Raw genomic sequence first — 27,736 nt, 5'->3', positions numbered from 1 at the left:
AAAAAATTAGCCAGGTATGGTGGCGCACACCTGTGGTCCTAGCTACTTGGGAGGCTGAAGCGGAAGGATCGCCTGAGCCCAGGAGGCAGAGGTTGCAGTGAGCCAAGATCGCACACTCCAGCCTCGGGAACAGAGCAAGACTCTGTCTCAAAAAAAATAAAAAAACATGGCTGGTTGCAGTGGCTCACGCCTGTAATCCCAGCACTTTGGGAGGTCAAGGTGGGCGGATCACAAGGTCAGGAGTTTGAGACCAGCCTGGCCAATATGGTGAAACCCTGCCTCTACTAAAAATACAAAAATTAGCCGGGCGTGATGGCGGGCGCATGTAATCCCAGTTACTCGGGAGGCTGAGGCAGGAGAATGTCTTGAACCCAGGAAGTGGAGGTTGCAGTGAGCCGAGATCATGCCACTGCAGTCCAGCCTGGGCGACAGAGTGAGACTCCGTCTCGGAAAAAAAAAAAACATATCTCACTGTGTCGGGGCTTCCTGGCCACTGTGTTATAATGGTGCTTAAGTACTCTGCACACTTCCGTTTACTCCTTTAAGAGCTGAGTGCTGCACCTGTGCTGCTCTCGGTGCTGGAGACACAGCGCTGGCCAGGCAGAGAAGGCCCTCATTGTCAAGTGGGGGAGACAGGGGCAGATCCTGCCTCGGGTTGGATGCTGTAGAGTTCCTGAGAACCACGTGTGTGTGTTTCCCACCCAGTGCGCCCTATCCACTCCTCCACATCCAGCCCTACCATCTCCATCCACGAGGTGGGCCATACCGGAGTCACCAAAACTGAGAGGAGTGGCATTAACAGACTGAGGAGTGAAATGAAACAGGTAAGAACACCTCAGTGGCAGCGAGGGATGAGTGGTGGTCTCCCTACCTGGGCTTACCCCAGAAAGCGACAGAAACCTAGGGCATGAGGCTGCAGCCCACTGTCTGTAGAGTGGGAGGTCCCTTCTGTCTGGGATCTGAACACACCCCTGTCCCCAGATAGATATTCCAGAGCCGGTCATGCGCACCCTTACCCACTCATCCTTAACCTTAACGTGATGTTCTCATGAACGTTCCAGAAAATACCCTTGTCCATGTTTGCCTCTGTTCCCGAGAACCACTCTTAGGAGTGGGCCACAGCCATTGAAAAAGTAGAGTCATGCAAAAAGTCACCGAATCATCTGTGTCCTTCAAACGAAATAGCAAGAGGGCTCTGGAAATAGACCAGAATGCCCATGATACTTGGATTCTCCACCAGCCACAGGGGTCTCTTTTCTTAGTTCACCTTTAATTCCTGGTAAAAAAAAAAAAAAAAAAAATCCTTTTGAACTGACCGCACAGGGCCACAGCTCAACATCGGAGTCTTAACGTGCTGGGTGCTGTGCTAGGCCTTGCCCAGGATCCATGCTGGGAAAGAGTTTCCCTCTGACCATGAGAAATGCACTCGAATTTTCTGCTCCATTTTAAATGCTGTTCATGACCCACTAAATGGAGTCCATGATGCACTCATGGGTCACCCCCTGCGGTTTGACCAACACGGCCCTGGATTAAGAGAGAGGGCAATAGAAGAAGCACGCGTTCTTGGCTCAAAGCTGGTTTTGATTTCCTGATGTATTTTTGCTTTCAGATGACTAGGCGGTTTAGTGCTGATGAACAGGTGACACCCCTTTGCCTTGTTCGTCCTTTACTTCCTGTTCTTTCTGGCTTGAATGTGGAAAGTGAGGCTGTGACTCCGCAGCGTGTGAATGTGTAGAGGGCGGCTCTATCCAGCAAACGGGCTGGGGCACAGGCAGAGAGCAGGACTCGAGGGCAGGAGAGACGACCTTGCCCCATGCCTTTAAAAATAATCTGTTTCTCAAACTCTTGGGCTTTGTAGGGTACTTTGTGAAAGAGATCATCCAGGCTCTGCCTCAGTGGGAGTTTCTATTCAAAAAGAGGGAACTAAATAGAAAACTAAATGGGGGGGAAATGCGGTCATTGGTTATATCAGTAGAAAGAATGCTGCTATTCCTGTCCTCAGATCGCCTGGGGGGACTTAACCCTGGAAGGAAAAACATGTAAGGGTGCTCTTCTTTTATATCACCCTGGTGACATATGTTCTCCACCCCCCTCTGGGACACTGGAGTCGCATTTCTAATATTTTGATGTGTATTACCACAAGAGCCTAGAGACATCTTAATGACATGTAAAGGCCGATTCCACATGTTGCCCAGAGGTAAAACATGCTTTATCTCTCCTAGTTTATGCTGTTTCCAAGTAGGGAACTGCCTTTTCAAACATCTTCCCTTGCCAGCCACTCGGTGGCACCGTCCCTCTGTCCCCGCATCCCGATGGCCTGACCGTGGGTGAATCTGAGTGGTTCCTTCCGCCTCTATTTCATGCTGTTCTTGCGTGTTACGGGGATGAAGTGATCACCTCTGTTCTTTGCTGGGCTTAGAGTCACCTAGCTAGTACAAACTTTGACCACTTACGTCAAGGAACATATTATTTGTTCCAAAAATGTAATAGGTGTTATGGTATTTTCAATCTCTAGTCTCTTTTGTAAGAATACCTTGTAGATAGCACACTGTACCCTTGCAAATTAAGGGTACATTCTAGATTTTAGACGAGGAAATACTTATGTGGCCAAAGGTATCAGCCCGATCATCATATTCATTCATTTAATGAATATCTACTGAATGTTAGGTGCAGCATGTTAGTGTCAGCTGTAGGTATTTGGTTCATCTGTAGATTTTCACAATTCTTACCATAAAATGTGAGCATTTCATGGCTGTGAGTTTGGAAAATAAATAGTGTCCTAACTTGATGATGCACCCTCCACATATGACAGGAACATTTAATGTTTACATTCAATGGTAACAGTTCATGTTTTTAAAAAGAGCAGTTAGTAAGTTTCACGTGGAGTCGAAGCCCAGAGCGGTGCTTGCAGGTGCCCCTGCACCTGAGCTTGCCTATGTGCGTTGCTGTGGCACCTTCTCTGCGCCCGCATTCTCTGCTGCTGCTTTCTGTGGGTGTTTCGGATGCTGCTCCATGACCCTCCTCTCTGCTGTGTCTCTTGGTGTCATTGCTGTCAACTGAGTGGATTCTTTTTGTTTTGTAGTTCTTTTCTGTGGGCCAGGCCGCGTCCAGCAGTGCGCATTCCTCCAAGTCTGCGGTAACAGTGCCTCGGGATTATTGTGTCCGTCCCCGCTCCTCCTCGCGTCCTTCCTCATGCTCCCACCTCATGCCCAACTTCTGAGGATTCGAGCAGGGCTGAAGTGTTTTCAGCGGGATGCTCACAGGCTCCTCCAACTGGAATTCTGAGGAGGGTAGAAAGAAGGCCCCAAAGTGCTTGCCCTGAGCTTTGTTCTCCGTCTTAAGCTCTCAGTTCTCTGCCTGTGCTCCTTGGCACAGTGTGGGTGAGGAGTTTCCTTCTCACCAATTCCCAGAGCTTCTGGAAACTTCGGGGCATTAGTTCCATGCCTCTTTATGGAGCCAGGATGGTGAGCCCTTGCCCACATGTGCCAACTAGCACTCTGCACCTGCCATGCCCCAGATCTCGTGCAGGGCTCGGATTGAGCTCACCGCAGAGCAGAGGCTGAATCTTCCTCCTGAAACTGGAGGGCCCGGATCAGCTGAGTCATTGAGGAGTGCAGCTGTAATTACTTTTATTTGTGTCTAATTGTTGCCTTAAGTGGCAGTAATGAGCCCAATGGAATAACCCAGCCGAACTGCCTTTTCAAAATAAGATCTGTTGAAATCCAACTGCTGCAGAAAGGAGAGCTCCACCTCCTGCCCTGCTAGCACACTTCAGGATTTCACTTTAACCCTTTACATTTGACTGTGCACATTTGATGTGTGGCACTATCGAGAAACAAAAGTGCCAGATAGTCCCAGGCAAAGAGATGTGTGAGAGTGAAGGTTATCCCTTCTCGACCTGGAGGTCTCGAAGCTAGAAGCCCCGCAGGGCAAGACAGAAGGCTGGGAGCTTTGCCGCAGGGAGGGGATGCGCCCCCACTCACAGAGGCCCGCCCCGCCAGCGGTGGGGAGCCTCTCAGACAGTGTCCCCCTCTGGAGCCTGAATCAGTCCAGCCAATGTTGAGGTGGGAAGGAGATGGCGCCCTCTTCCCTCACTTCAGCAAAGTCAGCCCCAGTTCAGAGGCAGCCATTGCCCCAAATTAAGATAAAGCCCAGTGCCAAGAATAGGGAAAGCCGGAAATGGGATTGCAAAGGGTGGGTGGATGGACCCTGATCTGCGAGGTCCTCGCCACTAAACGCGGGCTTCACTGTTTGTCTTCCCCCGTGTCATGTATTGCCTTCTCTGTGGTTCCTGTCCTGTGGAAACGTGTCTGTCACTTCTCTGTGGCACTGCAGCAATGAAGTGGGCACTATGGAGTTTGTCTCCCTGAGCCATGGATGCCTGCTCCGAGGGCCCGTTGTCACCCTCAAAGCTCTCCCACTGCAGTGGCACAGGCGCCACGTGCGGGTGACAGCTGCCCCTCATGGGCACTTAGCGCACACTAGGTATGCCTCAGGGGCTTCTGTGTCTCCACGTGGTGAAGGCTTCCGGGCAGCTCTTTATAGGATGCCTGACTGTGTCCCCACTGTGCAGATGAGACTGAGGCCCAGAATCAGTGTTCATGGCAGGGCCAGACGGCCTCGGGTGTGTCCTTGGCACCGCTGGCATTGAGTGGGGATTAGCACTCCGGCAGTCTGACCCCCAAGCCCGTGCTCGCCCTGTTCGGCCTCCTCCTTATGGGTTCTAGCTTTGGGGGTGGGACTGCCTCTCGGGGGGCAGGGCAGAGTGCAACATGGAATGAAGTGATCAACCCAAAGTATGCGAGTCATCTCACATGAGGAAACAGACAAGGTGGACTGGAGGAACCGTGTTCCTCTCTGGCGAGTGGTGTTCTGGCATTTGTGCCTAGGTCGCAGGGCCGCCCTTCGAGATGGCGCACTTTCCCTGGGGCACCTGCTGCGTGGCTTCTGAGGCCCCAAGCTGTCTGTCTTGCAGAGGTCCAGCACCCCATCCTCGCCCACTGGCACGTCATCCTCAGACTCGGGAGGACATCACATCGGCTGGGGTGAGCGGCAGGGCCAGTGGCTGCGCAGGAGAAGGCTGGATGGGGCCATCAACAGGGTCCCCGTGGGATTCTACCAGAGGGTGTGGAAGATCCTCCAGAAGGTAAGCCGAGACGCGAGCTCCTGGGGAAGTGAACCGTCCCCTTACTGTCCTGGCAAGGCATGGTGGCACCTCCAGGCGAGCAAACACACAGCCCTGAGGATGGCTTCTCTGCCTCAGCGCTGTTGGCACCTGGGGCCGAGGCATTCTCTGCTAGGGGGCCTGTGCGTGGTAGGATGTCTACAGCATCCCTGGCCTCTACCCGCCAGATGCCAGCAGCCATCTCTTCTCCCCACCCCACCCCCGTGTGACAACTAAAAGTGTCTCCAGGCATTATCAAACATCCCGTGGGAGGCAGATCAACCCAGTTGAGAACCACAGCAAGTAAGACAAGGTGGCAGTCTAGGTTGTGGTTGTGTGGGACCAACTTGGACGTATTTTAGGAACATAGAAGAACAGGGAAAGGCTGGGAGGCTTCAGATGAAAACCCTGTAAAACCACCCAGAGCAGCACCTACAGGCCTGGAACCTGGAATGACAGTTCAGGAGGGGCCTGGAGTAGGCCAGCCCCCCAGCCTCCCGCACATCCAGGCAGGAGTAGTGTCCCTGCTGTTCAGCGATGTGACTGAGCCCCACCCTCCCAGGGTACCTGCCGTGTTCAGTCCCAAGGTGTACAGAGGTGGAGAGCTTCCAGTTTAGCCCCAGGTCCTGTGTGCCCTGAAGGCACAATCTCCCTCACACCCTGGGGCCCCACTCCCCTCAGCCAGCCGGCTGTTGCGCTTCCCATCTGCCTGGGGCCGTTCACGTCTCCCCAGCTGTTGTCCCTGGGAACTGTGGTGCCTGTACCTGAGCACAGGAGCACCTCCCTGAGCGCCTGTTGTCAAGGAGGGGGGCAGCATTCTCTGTACCCCCCCAGTGTCTCCCTTCTGCATCAGCCCGAGAGAGTTTATGCAGCTCCCTGGGCTGCACCAGGCCCTCCCTGTCTTTTCCCTTGAATGGAAGGACAGTGTGCCTCGCTTAAAAGCTGTGCAAACCAAGACATTTTTTTCCCCCCAGAACTATTTTTTAGTTCATTTCACAGTGGGAGAGAAGAGAAAAAATAATCCCAGTGACAGCATACAACAGCCCCCTTCCCAAAGCCATGGCACCACTTGCTCAAGGTTCTTTCTGTAACAGGGGCCCCTGTGCTTCATGGGCCCCAAGGTATTCCTCACGGCCACCGCAGAGGGATGTGAGGAGGTCGGAGCAGGCCCTGCCCGAGCAGCTGGACTCCTGGGACCCAGGCAGGATCCTGCAGGGGCTCATGGTGCTTGCTCCACTTCCCGCCTCTCTTAAGGGGGTGGGAGTGTCCACTGCTGTTCTGCCCTCAGCCCACTGGGGACGCTCCAGGCCGGGGTGCTGGGATTTAGAAGGTGGCCAGTTAGACTAGAACAAGCTGTTCCTAGAAAATTTCCCCACTCTTCCTGGGGCATCACATGCTTCCGCTCGGACTCACTGGCGCAATACCAAGATATTTCTATTATGAAAAAGCATTTTGTGTTGAGCTGGCACTCGATATTTATATACATGGGTGTGCATGTGCATGTCTGTGCATGTGCTGGAGGCTTTTGTGATTGGTGCTTATTATAGAAATCTCAAAAATAGATGCCTGCAAAGGCACAGAAGCATCCCTTCCCCAGCAGGAGCCATGAAAATCCCCCTTTATTATGGCACCAAAGGGGCCTCGCAGCCGCCCGGGCCCAGTTGCCAAGTACAATGCGGAGCCTCCCGGGAGGACTCGGCAGCCCCCTAGGGCATTGTTCGGGGGAGATCTGAAAGATGCCTGCTGGGTTCCCTAGAATTGTTCCATCGAAAACACAGCCTGTGGGCAGTGAGAACAAGCTCTCTAAAAATAACTCTGACAGTCTGGCGTGTCCCAGCCCTCATATGGGTTTCCAGGGCAGAGGGTGCTGTGTGTGCATGCACGCCTGTGTGTGCATGCATGTGCTTATCCCATTCTGGAATCTGACTGAAATGCGCTCTATTCTGCCTCCAGTGCCACGGTCTCTCCATCGATGGTTATGTCCTCCCATCCTCGACGACCCGAGAGGTACGATGAGAAAAACGCAGAGGCGGGCCCCTCTGTGGGTTCACAATAAGGGCTTCATTGCATGGACTCTGACCTCTTGTGCTCCTTTTGGGCTCATTCTAATTGACAGGCCATTTGTAGCTCTGAGCTGTCTAGCCCCTTCACCCTCATATTTGGCAAAAATGTCTTTCCAGCATTTATTGGCATCAGCCTTTTTCTTCACCTGAGACTCAGCATTTCTGGGCTAGCAAGCTCTTTGCATTTGCCAGACACCCCTTAGAACCCTGGTGAAAGAAAGGAGCCAATCTCCATGCCACCCTGGCCTGCCCCATGGGCAGCCTTCTCGGCCCTTTTCTCCAACTAAAAACAGTAATCGTCCCTAGGTGATTTGTCATTCTTTTTAACATGGATTTTTTTTTAGTTTTACCCCACCCAAAGCACCATGCTTCATGCTGGAAGGAATAATGAAGAGGAAAGAGAAACCAGAAATGGTCCCTGCTCCCTGGAAGCTGTAGTCGATGGGGGGAAGGGTAGATAAATCAGGCGAGGACAGGCTGGCTCCTGGAGGCATACTCCAGCCTCCTGCTCTGAGGGCCACTGCCAGCAGGATCCAGGGAGTGGCCAGAAAAGGGGCAGCAGTGGCGCTGAGCCCCGAGCCCAGGCACTGCTACGGTCACCCTTGGTTACTCGGTGATTGATTGATAGGGCTGCATCTGTCCTCTCACTGGTGGTTGCCTGCCTGTCCCTTTGGTAGATGACCCCGCATGAGATCAAGTTTGCTGTCCATGTCGAATCGGTGCTGAACCGCGTGCCGCAGCCCGAGTACCGGCAGCTGCTGGTGGAAGCCATCATGGTGCTGACGCTGCTCTCGGACACGGAGATGACCAGCATCGGGGGCATCATCCACGTGGACCAGATCGTGCAGATGGCCAGTCAGCTGTTCTTGCAGGACCAGGTGGGGGTGCCAGGGAGCTGGGTTGGCTGGCATTTATCTCTGTTGAGGCTGGAGATTCTGTGTCCAATAGGAAAGAATATACTCGAACCAAGAAAATGTCATCACAGATGATGGGGAAAAAATGTCAACCACTTGCTTAGAAAATGGTACAGTGGCCACTTGGGAAATCTCAAGACCTTTGGGGATGGATAGGCCTGTCTCAATGCAGGTTTTCGTCCAAACACCACCACTTGCAACACATGTGACCATGGGTGAACCCCTTACCCTGTACACAAAGTCAAGTTCAACAGAGTAGTCCTCATTATAGTCAGGAGCTACAAACTAGGGTGCGTGATAACAGAGTGCAGTGCCCAGAGAGGTAGGGCATTCCCCCTGGCAGCGCTGGCTTCGTGCCCTCATGCCCTCAGAATTGGAGCCTCTCAGAAGGCCAAGGCTCTACTAGAGCAACCCTCACCCCTGCCCATGTTGACCCGCTGCCACCACCACGCAGAAGCGTGACGGGGAGTGGGGGCTCCGCTTATTGTCCCCTCTGCCCTTTCCTACTGCAGGTGTCAATTGGTGCCATGGACACCCTGGAGAAAGACCAAGCCACAGGAATCTGCCACTTCTTTTATGACAGCGCTCCGAGTGGGGCTTATGGGACGATGACCTACCTAACAAGAGCAGTGGCTTCTTATTTGCAGGAATTGTTGCCCAATTCGGGCTGCCAGATGCAATAGGGTCTCACCTGGAAACATGATCACACTCTCAATCTGTCACGTGCCCCCTAGCCTTACTGGGAACCTTCTGTCCCCCAAGATCCCCTGTGCTATCAGGAAAGCATGTCCCATCAGAAACACTCTCGGGGGGCAATGGTAGCACTCACCCTGAAACTGATGTATGTTAAAGCCACAGAGATAGAGCTGAGGAGTCCTGTGTTCCCCCGCAAGGAGCACCCCGGGATCATTTTCTAGGTTCATTTCTCTGGAACATTTGCTGTAGCATCTGGTCTCACGGACTCTGAGGAGGAATTGGAAATTGGTCTCTTTTGAGTGCAGAGGGAACTGAGACGCCAGCTTAAATTGGCTCTTGCAGAGAGTTACAGAAATAGTTTCGATGAGCTAGTGACACATCCTAAAGATGCAAAGATCCTCCTGGCGGCAGTAGCCTTGACAAGGGCCACCTCTTCACAGGATGCAGTCTGTCTGTGCACCAAACTCTTCACCAAATAGAACACTTGTGTCTCTCTGTGGAATGGGGGTTTTCTTGTGCCTTGCTTGCTTTCATAGCCTTCCATTTTATTGGCATGGCTGCCTTGATGTAACATAATTCTCTGTCCCCAAGATTTAGAAAATTCCTCTTCGTTCACCTTGGCTCATGGTCTTCCAGGGTTTTTATCCTGGCTGTCTATGAACTAGGGTTTTCTCCTGCCTTAGGAAAAATACTGCATCTTCTGGAATCTAGAAAAAAAAAAAAAAAAAGACAAGGCTCCTCTTATAGCCAGGCAAGCAGTTGTTTAGGGCTAGACCTGTTGTCCCCGCTCGCGTGGGGTGAACGCCCCGCAGTGGATACTGTCCTCCTGTGCTCTGGGCGAGGCGTCATAGGGTGAGCACAAGTCAGCAGTGCCATGGAAGTGAACAGGCATGTCCCCGCAGAAACAATGCTTCCCTCTGAAAAATAGAGCCAGGCTAGGAACCTGTACCCTCTTGGTAGAAGCACTTTGGTCTTCACTCTCTTGGGTGGGTGCAGTTGGAGGCACCGATTGGAGGAGAGCAAGGTTGAGTCAGGTGTCAGGGTCTGGCAAATCTTTTGCCAATGCCCTAGCAATGGAGTTTCTCTCCGGGCATTGTCTTACCTTGGGGGAAGGAAACAAAACCAATGGGAAAACAGTTTCTGTAAATAATAAACCTTGAAAGACAAATGCTCACCTAGTGGCCAGGAGGTGCGCTCTGTCTGGTTGAGAGCAATGGGCTAGATTATGGTGGACTCTGCCTCTGCCTCTGAAACAGAGATGAGGCTATGGGATCATTTCCTCGGACATCTGTATGGAGATGCAGAGATCAACGTGCCCTAGCTGCTTCGAGTGGGCATCGTGATGCCCAGTGCCCCTCAGAGCCAAGATGCAGTACTGATGGTTATTCCTGAAGCGGAGGAGAGGCAGGTGGCCTCAGGTGCCTGACAGCTTCCTGGCAGAGTCCTCTTTGGGCTGAGTCAAACCCTTTGCAGTCTAGAAGGGTTTGGTGTGCAGGCTCTGCCCACATGGGACTTCCATGCCGTTTCCATTTCTTCCAAACCATAATGCTCTCCCTTGCAGAGGTGCAGAGTAGTTAGGTAAAGGAAAATCCCCCGGAGTCTCTCCATATCTGCTACAGTGGGCTTACGCGTTTCTTGCATTTTGGGGGCAGATCCCAGAGACAAGGAGGGCGGCACATGAGCAGACATGGCACCAGGCCCCTGCCCCCTTGGGTCACCCTGTTCCCTCCCCATCCCACAACAGCCGCTGACCAGAGCAGCTCTTCCCTCACAAGCCAGTTTGCTCCCTTTGCCCCTGAGGCTCCACGGGCTGCAGCTTCCCAGGTCTGGGGGGTCGCATTTTCATAGCCTTTGCATGTGTGTGTGTCTTTAAGACATGCCCGACAGAAACAAGAGTCTTGGAGATGACACGTAATTCACCTGCCCCGTGGATCATTTCAAACAGATAACGTGGGAAAGGTATAAGAAGGTATAAGTCATGAAAGTTGTTCTTGGAAAAAGCTCAGGAAGAGTTAGAGCCCTCCAGAATGAGCCAGGTGCTAATTTAGAACAGTCACCTGCCTGCCAATGATGATGACGTGCTCAGCCACCAAGCTGCGGGCCGGGAGAGGAGCCGTAATAAGCGATTCCACCAAGCCTTCCAGCCACTCCTTTGAAACCTCTTTAAAATGAAATCCTGAAATAGGACCGCATTTCCACAGGCATCAAGCTGTCAGCTTCAAAGGAGAACAGGCTTCTGAGGCCTGGCCCCTTCAGCGCGCAGCTGAGGCCCCCCTCCCCGAGGAGAGGAGCAGATGTTTGAGGGCAGAGGGCCTGTCCTGACAGCACCTGCGTGGAGGTGGCAGGAGGGGATTGTTTCTAGGCCAGGCGAGAGGAGCCTGGCAGCCCCTGGAGCCTCGAGCCGGGGGTGGCGGGGGCAGGAACTTCTACCTCCCTGCTCAGAGCCAAGAAGTCAATTTGAACCTTTGCTGGGGCTCGGTATTAACACGTTCTGCCTTGGAGGGCAAGCCGGTGGGGCCAGGAATAAGCATTCCTTTTAACAACTTCAGTTGAAAAGCAGCCACCGCCCCACCCGCTGCTGTCCCTGGCTCTCATCAGGTGAATTCAGCATTCCTGCCACCCTGCCAGTGCCTCTGTGATCCTGGGCATGAGTTGACCACTATGTACCTCAGTTTACCCATCCACAAAAAATGCAAAAGGCCAGGACTAAGCATGGGGGCGTGACGTGAACTCCCGCTCCTCCTCTGGTCAAGGGCTTCATGCTTAGAGGAAACCAGATAAGCCCTATTGCAACCCCACCTGGAGTGGAGTGGGGGAGGATGAGGAGGAGGGGGAGACCCTACCTTCCACAGGCCCAGGGACTCGAGGGGTGGGGCTCCATTAGGAGATCAGTCGGGGCATGGTGAAGGGGAGGAGAGGTTGTCAAGGCTCAGCTGCCTGGACAGAGAGGATGGAAATACTCCCTGTGTGAAAAAAGAAAAGGAAAAGACCCCAGATCAGGAGGCAGGAAATGCAGTTTGGCAGAGTTGGTTGATGCCACTTACTTCTGGACAAGAAGACTGGAGGCTTGGCCACCCTTGATGGAAATTGCAGCAGAACCATCTCTCTATTCTGTTGATTCCCGCACCAGGCTGGCAAATAGCTTTTGTCTTTTCTGCTTCCTTGTTGCAAAAGGGTACAAAAGCCTCCCACCCACCCCACCCCCAATCGCCCTTTGTGCCATTATCTTTCAAGGTGACTTAGCTTTTGAAGTCCCTGCCATCTGCTCTGCAGGCCTGTACTTTGCAGGATGTGAGAGCACCGCGTTCCCAGAATGCCTTCTGTTCTACCCGACGTGGCTACTGATAGCTCTGCCTGTGAGGGGAAAAGAAAGCTGCGCTGTGGCCCCCTTAAAGCCCAGTCCCTGCTGTCTCCCTCAAAAAGCCACTTAGGAAAGCCACGGCCTTGAGGTACCAAGAGAGTTCTTTGAGAAATGAGAGTGGAAACTGTGAGAGAGGCTGCTCTGCAGTCGAGTGCTGGGCACGTCTGACGATGCCTGGGAGAGGAAAAAATTCCATCAAAAAACTACCATGGTTTTCTTTAGAGGAACATATGTGCACTTTTGGCAAAACATGCCTTCTCAGGAGAGCTGGAATAGTTGGAACCAATGAACTCTGAAGTCATGTGATTCGTCCCTCTGTCTTCGTGCAGTCCTTAAACTATTCTGAAAAATGCATGAATCCAACACGAATCCTAGCATTTCTGCCATGCCCACTGAGGGCCAGGCAGGCATACAGCCTGGTTGGGGGGTGGGAGGGTGAAAAGTATCTCTTTTTGTGCTTGAAGGCCCCTGAGGAAGCCCCTAGGCTCCCGTGGTGAGTGTTCCCTGCGCTGGCCTAGCAGGGTGTTGGTGTCTTGAGCCCGAATCCTGTGCAGCATTGGCCCAACCCTTGCAGGTGGCCGCCACCCCTTTCCCCTGCAGCTGGCATAGCCAAGGTGCCAGGCTCTGCAAAGGGTAAGCTGCATCTGAATTGGGCACGAGGGGATGGTTGTGCCTTCCACATCTCCTTTTGTGAAAGATCTTCCCAGATGCAAACCCAGGATGGACTTGCCAAAGAGAAATCCCAGTAACTGGCTCTAATCTCTGTGCCACCAGCTGCCATTGTCTCGAAGTTCATTTGCAAACAACAGAAACCAACTGTGGCTGGGTTAAGTGGGAAGTTTATTAAACAATATTGGATAGGTCACATGGTCACCAGGCTAAGCGGCTCCCTAGCCAGGACCAAGATCCCATGTCATTCTCCAGTACTCCCAGGTTCATACCCCAGGACTTACACCACAGACACCCCCAATGCTGGGCACTGTCACTGGGACCACTGCCTCTGCTCTTTTGGAAACTAAATGTAGAGGCTTCTACTTGTCACCAAAAGGGATTTTAAACAGCCACTAGCTGCCACTTCAAGGTCTCAGGCAAGCATACTGCCTCGGCTGAGGGAGAGGTTAGAAAAAACAGCATCCAGCCAGGCGTAGTGGCTTGTGCCTGTAATCCTGGCGCTTTGGGAGGCCTAGGCAGGAGGTCTCGAGCCCAGGAGCTAGAGACCAGCCTAGGCAACAATGTGAAACCCTCCCTACAAAAAATAAAATCAGCAAGGCACAGTGGTATACACCTGTTTTCCCAGCTACTCAAGAGGCTGAGGTGGGAGGATCACTTAAGCCTGGGAAGTCAAGGCTGCAGTGAACCGTGATTGCACCACTGCACTCCAGCCTGGGTGACAGAACAAGACCCTGTCTCAAAGAAAAGAAAAAAGCCGCATCTTGAGAATTCTGCCTTCCAAAGTGGAGGTCCCCACTTCATAACATGGGGATCCCCTGAACACAGGAAGGAGGTTCAAATGCCAAACATCTGAAACTCAGTGTCCGCTCCAGCTGGAATGCTTGCTTTTCTTTCCTCTGCCCATAAAAGAAGGACCTGTGCCCTCGCCAGGGTCTGCCCTGGAGAGCTGACGCAAGAGGCACATTTGCCCCTGAGGAAGGCTGTGTGTCAGGAGTGAAGAGGGGCGTGCAGGCAACCCCTCCTCACCCCAGGTGCATGGAAGCCATCCTGGTACCCACCTCTGGGATGGAGGTAGGACAATTAATTACATGTTCTGTCTTTGGGTAGAAATGCTACTGAGCCATAGGGGCTGGATCACCACTGCTGCCCAGTATGGCCCACCAGACCACCTTCCACCATCCTGCAAAGCCCTGCAGAATTGCCAGTGCGCCCTGCAGTTTTTGTGACCACCAGCCCAGTCCCATTCGATTTTCATAGCCCTTGAGTGACAGCCCATCTGGGACAAGACTCAAATGATTGTCACATCTTTTCTTCTAACTCTTTAGCCAGCTGGGGGATTTAAAAATAATGAATTGGAACCGTTCGTGGTATAAGCCTCTCTCTTGACAGTGTGAATAATTTCCTCCAGCTGTCACCAGGGATCGTTTGAGTTCCTGTAAGTACTGGAGTCTCTCCTGGGCTCAAGAGAGGCACAGCCATCTAGGCCAGGCGGCCCTCTCTGCCTCTCCCCAACCTCCCCTCCTTCTGGAAGTGCAGGCAACAGCTCCCTGCTCCCCTTTCCCTCATTAGCCACAAGAGATCTGGAGCGAAAGTGGCCCAGCAGGCTGGGAGAAGGTTTTGAGAGGGCATTGCACCCACCGCGGCTGACGCAGCTCTTCACGCCAGAAGATGAAGCAGCCGTTCTTAGTGGCTCCTTGCACTGCCGCCTGAATCTCACCAGAAAGGATTCTGGGCTTTCCATCGCCTAAAGCAGAGAGCTCCCTAGTGCTAGGGTGGTGACTGCCGCCCCGCCCTGCCCCCGCAGGATGTGTACCTTTGTCCCAGCTTGGTGGAGACTGTGCATCGACGGTGCTGTCAGCACACGTCCACGTGGCTGGATCTGGGCTTGGCTGGCTGAGGCACAAAGGGCTCCATGCCTAGTAGGGCAAAGAGTCAAAAATAAGTCTGCGGTGCAAGAGGGGTCAAGATGGAGCCCGGGTCGGGGAGCTCACTGTCAGCACAGGGTTAGCAGAGGCTCCGCAGAGTGACCAGAGCCGGGACTAGGGGGTGTGGAGCGGCAGAAAACGCGGGGACAGGTGGGCACAGGCCAGGCAGCCTGGGAACTGCCGGCACTCGGTGGAGGGGATGCAGGGGGCTTCCTGGGCTTGGCTGGGGGTGGAGGGGCCTTAGCAAAGCCACTGTCTTCGGCCCCTGAATGGCAGGCACTACCCCTCCACCAGCCCCAGTCCCACTTGCTCAGCTATGCTGGGGGAAGAGGGTAGAGGCTCAAGATGGGTTGGGGCAGGAGGTGGGGATTTGACCCTCCCAACCCTCGCCTGGGTCTCACGGGCTCCTCATAGGTGAAGGCTGAGTAAAACACTCAGTCCTCCAGAAAGTGCAGGGCCACAGCGCCGGAGTTGCTCAAGAATGCGACCCAGCAGGATCGGACTAGTCCTTTAAATGTCAAAGCAGCCGGCTGGGTGGGGACAGCACAGCTGGGTGAGGCCAAGGCCATCTCTGAGTCTCCTGCAGCTCAGCCGAGGGAGGAAGTGAGACTGACCCCTCCTCCTCCCCGCCCCGGAAAATGAACAAGGAGTGATGATTTTCGCAGCATATCGGGGGCAGAACGAAGCAGAGGAACGGGTGGGGAGGCCTGGGAGCACAGAGGGCCTGTCCTCTGGGATGACTGGAGAAGATCTCAGTGGGCAAGATGTGATCAGCGACCTGAAGGAAGTGAGGGCCTGAGCCTCACTTTAGCTGGAGGAGACGGTGCCGGGCAGCAAGGAACCGCCAGTGCGAACGTGGGAGGCAGTACTGCACCCAACACGTCTGCAGGGGGCGGGAGTGGAGCCACCAAGGAGTCCAGACTTTGGCTTTTGTCCCAAGTCACTGGGAAGAATGACAAGTATTGCCAACCCTGCCCAGAGAGATCTGCTTTAAAGGTTAGGGGGCAGTGGAGCCATGGCAGAGGCAGAGGGGAGAAGCAGTTCATTTCACCGCAGGTCTGGAGGGACATGTGTGAGAGGCGGAGCCAGGAAGGGAGCCAGTGCCGAGGCCATGTGACTTCCTTCCACCTATTTTGAGGAGCTGACAGCCTTCGGGAGCAGCCCCTGCTTTGCTGCTATTTAGGGGAGATAATCTAGTAACTGGAAAATGGGGGTGATGAAATGACAGAAGAGGGAGAGAGAAGCGATGCCTGTTCCCTTCCTCAGCTCCCTCCGCTGTCTCAGGCCTGAAACCCTACGTGGTCCCTACACCACGTTCAAGCCGACATGCACGTACAAAGCCATATACCTGCATCTGCTGGCGCCACCTTCCTCGGGGGATGGGGTGGGCAAAGGAAACAGTGGCCGGGACTCTATCCCCAGGGCACCCTCCTCCGCCCTGCCTTCTCCTGCTCTCACCTTACCTCTCCCCTGACGTCCCTAAGCGTCCACTGCCCTTCATATTGGGGCTTTAGAAAGCAACAGTGACAGACTTTGGGGCTGAGGCCTGGAAAGGTTCTAAAGGCTCCACACCGCAAGTTGTTCAGAGGCTGCTTCCTCTGCACTTTAAATAGATGTGCTATGCTGACTTTGACACATTTCTTTTTTAAACTTAAAAAAAGCACAATCGGAAAAAAAGCAAGAAAGAAATGTAGTGAGTCATCCACTAGCGGGAGGGAGGGGTACTGTGCTGGGAGGTGGGGACCAGTGGAACATTCCAGGAGGCTGGCCAGGGAGTACGTACCCCAGCCGGTGGGGAGAGGGAATATAGGAGGGGATAGTTGAGGCCAAGAGGATTGGCTCCAAGGAATCCCTGGAATCAGCTACTTTGTCCTCTGGGGGTCTTCTACCTGTAAACCTCAGGCGTCTTGGAAACTAGAGGAGAGTAAAGACTTGAGCTGTGGCTCCAGCTGAGGGACACATTCCACAGGTGCTGAAGAGCACGTGATCATCATCTATGCCTGCTTAGTTAGGGCTGCTGTTAGCACCTGGATTTTACAGATGAGGAAACTGAGACTCAAGAGGGCTTGTGAATTTCAGAAATTCACACATGTCAGTGGCAGATCAGAAAGAAGCCCATTTCCGGCCTCCATGTTTACCTAGATCTAGGCAAAGAACCTTGCTTTAGTCTCTAACAAATTTACCTCAGAAGAGAGACTCATTTGTTCAGTTTATTCAAGGTTTGGATAGTAGATATGAAGAGAAATATTGAAGGGGAAGGGAATTCTCAGCTTAGCATACAGGGGTTAGGAAGCTAAATTCAGCCCAGGGTGATAGAAGTCACGCTTGCAACTGGGTGGTGCAGCAAGGCTGGGGATGCAGCACCGTGGACAGTGGCAAGTCTCTTAGCTCCTCCGAGTCCGCTGGCTGTCCCAGCTAGGAAGCAAGGACACCAGGTCCCCCCCCTGCCTCTCTCAAAGAGTCCATTTCAAGGTCAGGAGAAATGTGGCTCATGCTTTGGAGCCCACAAAGCCCTTAAGTAGCCTCTGCTGTGATGTGGGCACAGCCACCCTAGGGACTGTTCCCAGATGGTAGCCTTTGGCAAAATTGTGACACAGGCAGCATTGGGTTTAAGGTCTCAACACCTTGCTTTGGCTACCTCCCGGGCCCCTGTCACCACCAGGAGCTCAGGGGTCAGATGGGCCAGAATTTTGACCCCCATGCTGCTGCTTAGAGCTGGACACCCTTTGATTAGACACAATCTCTTGGTACCTCAGTTTCTTCCTCTGTGAAATGGGATGGTGATTATATAAACCATCTTCATGTGGTGGTTCTAGAGATTAACAAGCTAATGGACATAACAGTAACAATACCGTGTATGTAATGAGGTCATGATCACGTTTGTACACCCCTGGCACTGGCACAGTCTCAGCAGACAGAGGCTGCTGCCACTCCCCCACCCCACGGTGGCGCTGGCCTAGGTCTGCAGGCTCCAGATCATCCCGGAGGGCCCAGGGTGTGTCTGAAGGTAAGCATTGGATCAGACAGGTGACATTTGAGCTGCGTGGCCATGGATAGCAAGTCACTCTCTGAGCCTCATTTCCTCATTGGTCAAATGGGGATGACGATGCTCATGGTGGAAGATTCTGGAGGACTGTTAAGAATAAGCTAGGGGGATACATCCATTTTAAACAGAGCAAGAGAGAGTTCTGTGAGGACTCCAGCCTGGCACACCTGGGAGGAGCCCAGTTCAACGTCAAGGGTGTTGAAATCAGCGCCGCCCCGAGCAGGGCTCTGCTATACGGACCAAGGACAGAGCAGAGCAGACAGAGGCAGGAGGTGGCACTTTGAGGAGAGAAGCGAAGAGCATAAAGGCCCTGTCTTCATCCTTCACCTATCTCTGGATTCCTTCTTCCTCTTGACACTTGCCGCCCAAGGGCCTGGGGTTGCAAAGGGGTGCGGAGCCTCCTGCCCTCACTTGGGAGAAGCCTGTCTGCCCTTAGAAGAAGGGAGAGAGCCGGGGATGGGGGATGCCCCTAGGGGAGGCTGAGGAGCAGGGCTTGCCTTTTGTCTGACCCACTCGGGACCCACCAGGGCAGGCAACCAGGGAGGGCTTGGGTCCAGGGAGCTGGCAATAAGTGGTGCCACTTCGCTGGAGGTGTCACTGCTACACAGCAGCCTGAGACTGCAAGAGCTGCCTGGCACGCTGGGTGGTTCAGAGCGTGGCACTGGGGCTGGCACTGGTCTGTCTGGGCCACATCCAGGGCCACCACCTCTGTACTTGGGCTTAGTGAGAGCACTTGTACCTCGCATGGCTGTCACAAGATTGAGTGTGACATATTTTTAAAGTGCTTGGATACTACTTGGCACATAGTAAGTGCTAAATAAATGTTTGTGTAATAAAAAAAAGATAGTGGGGATAAAGCTGCTGGAACAGAGCAAATATTCAATGAATTCCTCTGAGAAAGCCTCCGAATCCCTTTTCTCCCATGCTGTCCTCTCGACAGCCAGCCTCCCGCTACCTGGGAGACACTCAGGTGCTGAAGTGTTCCAGGAAAGAAGCCACAGGGTGCGGGTCACTCCCAGTTCTCCCTGGAATGTTTGCATTTCACAAGTCACATGCAAGTTTCGGTGAAAGCTCTGACTTGTGGAATTCTCAGCCCCTGAGCTGGCCAGTGTGATGGGGAAAGGGTCCTTAACTCCCAACTGTCATCTTCTCTGCCTATGTGCAGGCCGCACTGCCTGGGATCTGCGTTCTGATAACCTGTCTCCTCCCAGGACTCTAAAAGGCAGGAATGGCTGGGTGCAGTGGCTCGTGACTGTAATCCCAGCACTTTGGGAGGCCAAGATGAGGTGGGAGGATCGCTTAAGCCCCGGAGTTCCAGACTAGCCTTGGCAACATAAGGAGACCCTATCTCTACAAAAAATGAAAAAAAAAAAAAAAAAAACCCCACCTGGGCATGATGGCAGACACCTGCAATCCCAGTTACTCAGGAGGCTGAGCTGGGAGGATCACTTGAGCCCAGAGGCAGAGGCTGCAGTGAGCCATGATCATGCTACTGCACTCCAGCCTGGGCGACAGAGCGAGACTCCATCTCAAAAAAATTAAATTAAAATAGCAGGCAGGATCACACAAGAGGACAAATTCCTCAGTAATCTCTCAGGATACTTTCAGCTGTCCATCACAGCTACCCAGCCTGTCAGTGGCTCAAACAATAAAGACATTTCTCACCCTATGTAAGACAACGACTGCAGCTGGGAGGTTGCAGAGTTGGTTCAGTGGCTCAACAATGCCACGAAGGACCCATGCTCTTCCTGTCTTTCTTCTCCATCAACTTCAGAGTGGCGCTTTCTTTTCTCATGGTTACAAGATGGCTGCCACAGCTCCAAGCATCACATCCTTAAAGGACAACATCCCAACCAAGGAGGGAGAGTCAGGGCTTTCTTCTTTAGCTTTTGGCTTCTCTCTCTCTTGCTCCAGTCTTTTTCTCACTCCCTCGCTCCCTCTCCACCCCTCTCTCCCCCTATCAACCCATTCCAGGTAGGGAAGTCTCTCCTAGAAGCCCTCTGGCAGACTTTTCCTTAATTCGAAATGCCCAGGACTGAGTCATATGCCTGTTTAACACTAATCACTGGCAAGCGCAATAAGGATTAACAGGATGGATTTCTAAGTCTGGAACCATCGTGGGCCTTGCAAGGTTGGTGGGGCACCTTTGGAGACCTCACTTGTCAAATATCTGCAACAAACTCGGGGTCCTGTTAGTGGGGAAGAAGGGAGATGGCTGCTGGGCAACCTTGAGTCTGCCAGGAGCACTTAGCCTCCTGGGTCATGGTCATGGCCTCTTTCTATGCTTCCTGAAGTTTCTTATGCCTTGTCCAGGGCCCCTTGCATCAGTCCTGGGCTGGGAGAAGGCAGGCTAGGGGACCTGGCAGCACGGGCAGGTCTAAGGTCCAACAAAAATATCCCCACAAAGAAGCCGGAGGTTGCACTCTGAGGGATGGGGCTCACGCAATCCTCCCACCTCGGCCTCCCAAAGTGCTACAATTATAGGCTTAAGCCACTGAGTCCAGCCCTTGGTAAGATTTTTGATTGTCTTCAAAGAGTAATCAAAACCAAAGCAAAAGAGCAAATATACATATTTATATATAATATTTATTATATATATCATATATGATATGATATATGATATATGATATCATATCATATATCATGTATATCATCTATATGATATACATATCATATATATCATATATCATATATATGATCTATATGATCTATATCATCTATATGATCTATATCATATATATGATCTATATGATCTATATCATATATATGATCTATATGATCTATATCATATATATGATCTATATGATCTATATCATATATATGATCTATATGATCTATATCATATATATGATCTATATGATCTATATCATATATATGATCTATATGATCTATATCATATATATGATCTATATGATCTATAGATCATACAAATATATGATCTATATGATCTATAGATCATACAAATATATGATCTGTAGATCATACAAATATATGATCTGTAGATCATATATATATATGATCTGTAGATCATATATATATATATATATTTTTTTTCTTCCAGACAGAGTCTCACTCTGTCGCCCAGGCTGGAGTGCAGTGGCGCAATCTCGGCTCACTGCCACCTCCACCTCCTGGGTTCCAGCGATTCTCCTGACTCAGCCTCCCGAGTAGCTGGGATTACAAGTGCCCGCCACCATGACCAGCTAATTTTTGTATTTTTAGTAGAGACGGGGTTTCGCCATGTTGGCCAGGCTTGTCTCAAACTCCTGACCTCTTGATCCGCTCACCTTGGCCTCCCAAAGTGCTGGGAATTACAGGCGTGAGCCACCACCCCCGGCTGCAAATATATTAATAATTACCCAGAATGAAAAGTCTAGATAAAATCAGCATGATAGAATTTGAGGTGAGGGAGTAGACACTCTGGGATGTGAAATATGCAAATGTTCTTTTCGAATATAAGGGGTGAGAAAGAGATCAATTCAAAAACAAGATGAGAGGCTGGGCGTGGTGTCTCACGCCTGTAATCCCAGCACTTTGGGAGGCCGAGGCGGATGGATCACCTGAGGTCAGGAGTTTGAGACCAGCCTGGCTAACATGGTGAAACCCCGTCTCTACTAAAAGTACAAAAATTAGCCGGGTGTAGTGGAGGGCGCCTGTAATCCCAGCTACTGGGGAGGCTGAGGCAAGAGAATCACTCGAACCTGAGAGGAGGAGGTTGCAGTGAGCCGAGATTGCGCCACTGTACTCCAACCTGAGTGACAGAACAAGACTCTGTCTCAAAAAAAGACAAGAAACATAGAAACACAGAATTTCCATCCTGAAGCCAGGACGGAGTGCCTGTGTATCTGTTTGTCACCCAGACAAAACGTGACAAACTAAAATAAGTCTGTAATGCAAAGCAGTGTATATCGTATGCTCTGCAACAGGAAGGACCAGGTAGGAGAAGCCACCATACACATGAACATGTTCAAAACCAGCTACCTAGATCGATGGTGACAATAATGTCAAGAGACCAGACCCCTGTTAAATGACAAATGTTGACAGATTGGGTTTACATGGTTCATGTAGAAAGATATATGCTCTTTGTAGGCATATGGATACAGAAGGTTGCAAAGAAAAGGACAAAAAAAGACATGCCAGGCAAATGCTATCAGAAAGAGGGCTGGTCCCCCTGTGTCACTGTTGGGTAAAATAGACTTCAGGACCAAAAGTGGTATTAAGGACGAGAAACGGGATAACATGATGATAAAAGATGAAATTTGCCAAGAAGACATTTCCATTTTAAACATTTCTTTATCCAATAAACAACTTCAAAATAAATGCAGGAAACATTAACAAAAGTACAAGGACAAGATGACTTCATCATCTTGGTGGGAGGCTCCGAGACATCTTTTTTTACTACTGGTAGGTCAAGCTGACCAAAATATCATCAAGGACATAGAAGATCTCAGTGACACAGTTAACAACCTTGAGCTGACAGACATGAGGACAGGTCTGCTCAACAATTTGCGAATACATATTGGGATTCTTCACGCACACTTGGAGTATTAAAATTTCAATTATTTACTAAGCCTTAAAGAAAGATGCAGGGCTGGGCGAGGTGGCTCACACCTGTAATCCCAGCACTTTGGGAGGCTGAGGCAGGTGGATCGCCTGAGCTCAGGAGTTTGAGACCAGCCTGGGCAACATAATGAGACCCCATCTCTACAAAAAAGTTAACAAATAAAAATTAGCCAGGTGTGGTGGTACACACCTGTAGTGCCAGCTACTTGAGACTCTGAGGTGGGAGGATAGCTTGAGCCTGGGAGGTTGAGGCCGCAATGAGCCGTGATTTGCGCCACTGCATTCCAGCTTGGGTGACAGAGTGAGGCACTGACTCAAAAATAAGTAAATAAATAAATAAGAGGTTGACCGGAAGAAAAAACAGGCATGGAGTTTGCAGTGATCATTATCACTTTCCCCCCCCAAATCCAGAAGAACTACAGAGCGGACACCTTTGTCCTGGGGCCTCTGCTGAACTATTTCTGCAGGTCTGTTCCTTGGCTTCCCCCAAGGGCATCCCCGCGGTTGGTGCCTCTCCTGCGTGGGGAAGACACATGGAGGGGATGCTGCTGCTGCTGTGGGCATGAGGCTTAGAGGCTGCCAGGGCCAGCATTTCATTCTCACGGGGACCCCGCAGCACCTTGGGATTATGCCTCGACCCTCCCCGAGACAAAACTGACAGAAGAGGAATTCACAGGTGGCAGGATTCGCCTGAAGGCCAAAGGACTGGGGGCACAGCCACAGAGAGCTGGTGAAATGTCATTCAGGGGTCTCTCAAAGTCAAGGCCCACTCTAATAGCTGCCAGCCACCCCCTAGGCCAGGCTGAGGTCACAAGGAGTTGGCTGCGTCTTGCTCCTCTGACAGGGTAGAGAGTGAGGGGGTAACAGGCAGTGAGGGGACAGTTGGTGGGGACCACACAGTCTAGTCCACTTCCTGGGAGGGATATAGAGGTGGGAGCAGGAACCCCCAAAAGAGCCCAGACACCAGCCTGGGTGGAAACTGAAGGGCACACAGGGTGCCAGCCCAACCTAATGAGACCTAGACAAGAGGGGTGGAGGTCACCCAAAGGCCACAGGTGTCACTGGGTGAGCAGTAGTATTCGGTGGTTAAGAGCTCTGATCCTGGTACCAGAGTCTAGGCTTCCATCCCTGCTCCTTCCCCAGTGTGCTGGGTGGCCTTGGGCAGGTCACATAATCATTCTGGGCTCCAGTTTCCTCAGTCAGTGCATTGAACACGTATTTACTGAGCACCTACTACATGCCAGGCACTGATTTAGACACGTGGGAGAATCCATGAACAAAACAGTGATTCCTCCCATCTCAGAGCCTAAGTTCAGGCAGAGACAGACGATAAGCAACGACCTTAACAAATCGGGATGTTATGCAGCCAATTCCACAGTGAGGCCGGCTCAGGCCTCAAAGAAAGATTGGAGTGAGGGAGTCAGGCAGCAGTATTAAATAGGCTTGTCAAGAAGAAAAGATCTGAGCAAAGACTGGAAAGGGCTGAGAGAAAGGGCTGCATGGCCATTGGGGGAGAGCACTCATAGCAGAGGCAGAGTGGGCCCAGATGTGGTGGCACACGCCTGTGGTCCCAACTACTCAAGAGGCTGAGGAGGGAGGATCACTTGAGCCCAGGAGGTGGAGGCTGCAGTGAGCTGGGATGAAGCCACTGCACTCCAGCCTGGGCGACAGATGGGACAGTGCCTCCATGAGTACTAATGGGCACTCCTGGTCTCAAAGAGTGCCCCACCCTGTCAGGGCCCTGGACCTTGGTGACCTTTGGCTTCCTGACCCAGAGCCTCCCCAGGATCCAAGTGTCTCCTCGGACTTGGATGTCCTGTCTCTTTAAAAAAGTGGCTCATGCCTGTAATCCCAGCACTTTGGGAGGCCGAGGCAGGCGGATCACCTGAGGTCAGGAGTTCAAGACCAGCCTGGCCAACATGGCGAAACCCTGTCTCTACTAAAAATACAAAAAATTAGCTGGGTGTGGTGGCGCACGCCTGTAATCCCAGCCACTCGGGAAGCTGAGGCAGGAAAAGCCCTTGAACCCCGGAGATGGAGGTTGTAGTGAGCCAAAATTGCACCACTGCACTCCAGCCTAGGTGACCGAGCGAGACTCTGCCTTAAAAAAAAAAAAAAAAATGGAGGAGGAAGTCCTGCCTCCACACGAATGCACCTGGAGGGCATTATGCTAAGTGAAATAAGCCAGACACAGACAAATATCACGTGATCCTTCTTCTATGTGGAATCTAAAGTCCAGCTCACAGTAATAGGGAATAGAAGGTGGTTACCAGGGGAACAAGTCCACACAGTGCTGCGTGCATGGAGCGCAGTTGCTGAGGGGTCTGTACTGTACAAGCCAAAGGAATGAGAAAAGCTTGGTGTTCATTGCTGGGAATGAATGAGTGTCTCCAAATCCAAGGAGACACTGGGATCCTGAATAGGCTCTGGGTCGGGATGTCAAAGGCCACCAAGCTCCAGAGCCTTGCCAAGGTGGGTCACTCTTCATGACCGGGAGTGCCCATGAGCACACGTGGAGGCACTGCCTCATCTGCCACAACACCTAGCGGCTCTCTCCGATGTCTCATTGATGACCTGTGAGCTGTTTCCTCCCACATGGACCCTGGGAAAGCAAAGAATCACAAGCAGCAACGCCCTGGAAGGACCAAGGAAGACACAGCCATTGCGGTACTTCCAAGTGGGACCCTGCCTGTTCTCCCTCCTCAGGGACCTCCCATCCCTCCTAGTGGTGCTGGGCTCTACAACCTCTGCCACTAGCTCCACTCAGAGGACCCTCTCTCCATCAGAAAGTGGCGGCAGCTGTGTCCAGGTCACCAACCCCCAAACTCTGGCTCCTCGCAGTGTCTGTTCAGAATCCCAAATCTCTCAGCAGTCATTTAAGCTCTGCAGTTTTTCCGAACACTTTCAGAAGTTAGAGAACAACTTCTTCCCTTTGGCCATTAAAATGTAAGCAATTGACCTGGCACCGTGGCTCATGCCTGCAATCCCAGCAATCTGGGAAGCTGAGGCAGGAAGATCACGTGAGCCCAGGAGTTTGAGACCAGCTTGAGCAACATAGTGAGACCTCATCTCTACCAAAAATTTAAGAATTAGTTGGGTGTGGTGGCACGCACCCTTAGTCCCAGCTGCTCAGGAGGCTGAGGCAAGAGGATGGTGTGAACCCAGGAGTTTGAGACCAGTCTGGGCAACATGGCAAGACTCTGTCTTTAAAAAAAAAAAAAAACAAAAGTAACTGTACTGTGAGTGGCAAAACAGTTAAACTTCAAATATCAAAATTCAACTTCCTTCAAGTGATCTTCTCTTTAGGTGTCTGACAATGTTCTTTGGAAATTCAGGTTGAAATACAGTGACTTCTAGGGCAAAGAAAACAAGCAGAACATCCATTCCCCATATCCTAGGCACACTCATCCCTCACATGCCATTTGTTCCTCACGCCACCTCTCTGAGAGAAGGCATATCACCCCCTTCTGTGGACAGGGAAACTGAGGCTTAGAGATATTCAGAAGCTGGTCTGGATTCTAGCGCCTGTATAGAAGTGGCAGAGATGGGGCCGGGTGCAGTAGCTCACACCTGTAAACCCAGCACTTTGGGAGGCCGAGGCAGGCAGATCACTTGAGGTCAGGAGTTCGAGACCAGCCTGGCCAACATAGTAAAACCCCATCTCTACTAAAAACACAAAAATTAAGTGGGCATGATGGCACGTGCCTGTAGTCCCAGCTACTCAGGAGGCTGAGGCAGGAGAATCTCTTGAACTCGGGGAGGTGGAGATTGCAATGAGCAGAGAGTGCATCACTGCACTCCAGCCTGGCCAACAGAGAAGACTGTCGGGAAAGGGAAAGGGAAGGAAAAGGGAAGAGAAGGAAAAGGGAAGGGAAGGGAGAGAAGGAGAAAGAAGTGGCAGAGCTGCAATTCAAAGCCAAGCCTTGCCCTTTAAAACTATACACCTTCTTCCAGGGTTGGAGGCCAAAGGATTCCTCCTTTCCACCACTCCTCCTGGAGGAACATGTGTCGGTACCCAAAAGCATGCCTGCAAGGTGGAGAGACAGGGAGAGGTTCGCGTGGCACCCAGACGAGCCCCCTAATTCATGTCATTTTTCTGCATTGAGTCCTGATGATTTATTTCCCCAAGCACAGCCCAACTGAGGCTGAACCTCCTGGGCCCACGTGACCTCCTCAGCCTGGCTCCGGGAGGAGGTAGCTGAGCCGCATCTTCCCATCTGCTAGGTGTCAGGTTTTGCAGGACACCAGGCCTGAAGCTGTCCCTGGCCGTCCTCTCCCAGTCGCCCCACCCCACACCATTTCCCAGCTTCCCAGGAGGCGACAGATCCCTTGTCTGTTCCCCAGCAACGCACCCCGACCCCAAGTCTCTCCTGCCCCCAAGCAGATCCCATTCTCAGAGCACAAGGCATCCTTGGCCTTCAGCGCTGAATGCTCACAAGCTTATGTGATCAGTGTGCACACCAGCACCAGCAGCGTGCCAGGGCCAGGCATGTTGTACAAGTGAAATGCCAAGAGTGTGCTCCAGGGAGCAGCCTGGAAGGAAGCAAGAGTGACAGGGGAAGGAGCTGAGCAGGGTGTGGCATCAGGTGGAACCCAGCCAGCCCGACGCCACAGGGGGCTCTGGAGTGAGCACTGCAAGATAAAAGCAGCCTCTGCCATCAGTTAGCCAGTGACTGCTGGCTGCCCGCGGGTGGCAATGGGGGCAGTTGGGGGGGACGCGGATGGGACACAAGCTCTTAGGCAAGCACCTCCCATCAGTCCAGGGCAATGCACCAGGAAAGGGGGTCGCTGTGCGTTGCTGGCACCCAACATTCCTAGAAGCTGGAGGATGAGTGCACCGGCCAATAAAGGGGATGCAGCGGGGCCAACAGCTTCCACTACAACGAGATACCGCTTCCTGTGCTACGTGCTTCACGTACATTCGCTCTCATCTTTGCTATGGTCCCGGGATGTGGTTGTGGTTACGATAAATGGAGGCTCCGAATGCCCATGTCATTTGTCCAGAGTTTCCCATACCCTTGATGGCAGAGGGGCATCTGAAATCAGGTTGTATGACTTCAAAGTCCATGTAGGGTTGCCAGAGTTGACAACTAAAAATACAAAACGCCGGCCGGGCACGGTGGCTCAGGCCTGTAATCCCAGCACTTTGGGAGGCCGAGGTGGGGGTGGATCACTTAAGGTTAGGGGTTCGAGAGCAGCCTGGCCAACATGGTGAAACTTCGTCTCTACTAAAAATACAAAAATTAGCCGGGCATGGTGGCACACGCCTGTAATCCCCGCTACTCAGGAGGCTGAGGCAGGAGAATCACTTGAACCTGGGAGGCGAAGGTTG

The 27,736-nt window shown here is 52.1% G+C and overlaps 1 protein-coding gene and 1 long non-coding RNA gene across 14 annotated transcripts in view, besides 1 other annotated feature; one reads left to right on the top strand and one right to left on the bottom strand.

Annotated features, from left to right (window-relative positions):
- PHKA2 (phosphorylase kinase regulatory subunit alpha 2) overlaps positions 1-10,011 on the top strand; it is a 91,817-nt gene extending 81,806 nt beyond the window's left edge. For 5 of the 13 annotated variants that reach the window (XM_011545537.4, NM_001440805.1, XM_047442166.1 and 2 more), the window contains 7 exons: positions 706-824; positions 1,610-1,639; positions 3,083-3,160; positions 4,976-5,146; positions 7,118-7,171; positions 7,905-8,105; positions 8,654-10,011. In XM_011545537.4, coding sequence (XP_011543839.1) covers positions 706-824; positions 1,610-1,639; positions 3,083-3,160; positions 4,976-5,146; positions 7,118-7,171; positions 7,905-8,105; positions 8,654-8,824 — 824 coding nt within the window. In that variant the 3' untranslated portion in view covers positions 8,825-10,011. Of the gene's footprint in view, positions 1-705; positions 825-1,609; positions 1,640-3,082; positions 4,486-4,975; positions 5,147-7,117; positions 7,172-7,904; positions 8,106-8,653 lie in introns of those variants that run through there. The other 8 variants (NM_001440802.1, NM_000292.3, NM_001440803.1 and 5 more) reach the window with 5 other exon arrangements.
- PHKA2-AS1 (PHKA2 antisense RNA 1) lies at positions 7,334-12,013 on the bottom strand. Its single transcript, NR_029379.1, has 3 exons — positions 11,681-12,013; positions 8,971-9,104; positions 7,334-8,162 (listed from the first exon to the last, which is right to left on the bottom strand). It is a non-coding gene; the product is annotated as a PHKA2 antisense RNA 1 (long non-coding RNA).
- Positions 15,404-15,613: an enhancer, noted in NCBI's record as "active region_29460". NCBI's record gives its function as "activates an Ori minimal core promoter by ATAC-STARR-seq in GM12878 lymphoblastoid cells {active_cell/tissue: GM12878}" and the evidence as "EXISTENCE:reporter gene assay evidence [ECO:0000049][PMID:35858748]".

The sequence above is a fragment of the Homo sapiens genome, chromosome X, assembly GCF_000001405.40.
Source record: "Homo sapiens chromosome X, GRCh38.p14 Primary Assembly".
NCBI lineage: Eukaryota > Metazoa > Chordata > Mammalia > Primates > Hominidae > Homo > Homo sapiens.
Note: the sequence above shows the minus strand (reverse complement) of the source record. Positions and strands in the feature narration are given on the sequence as shown.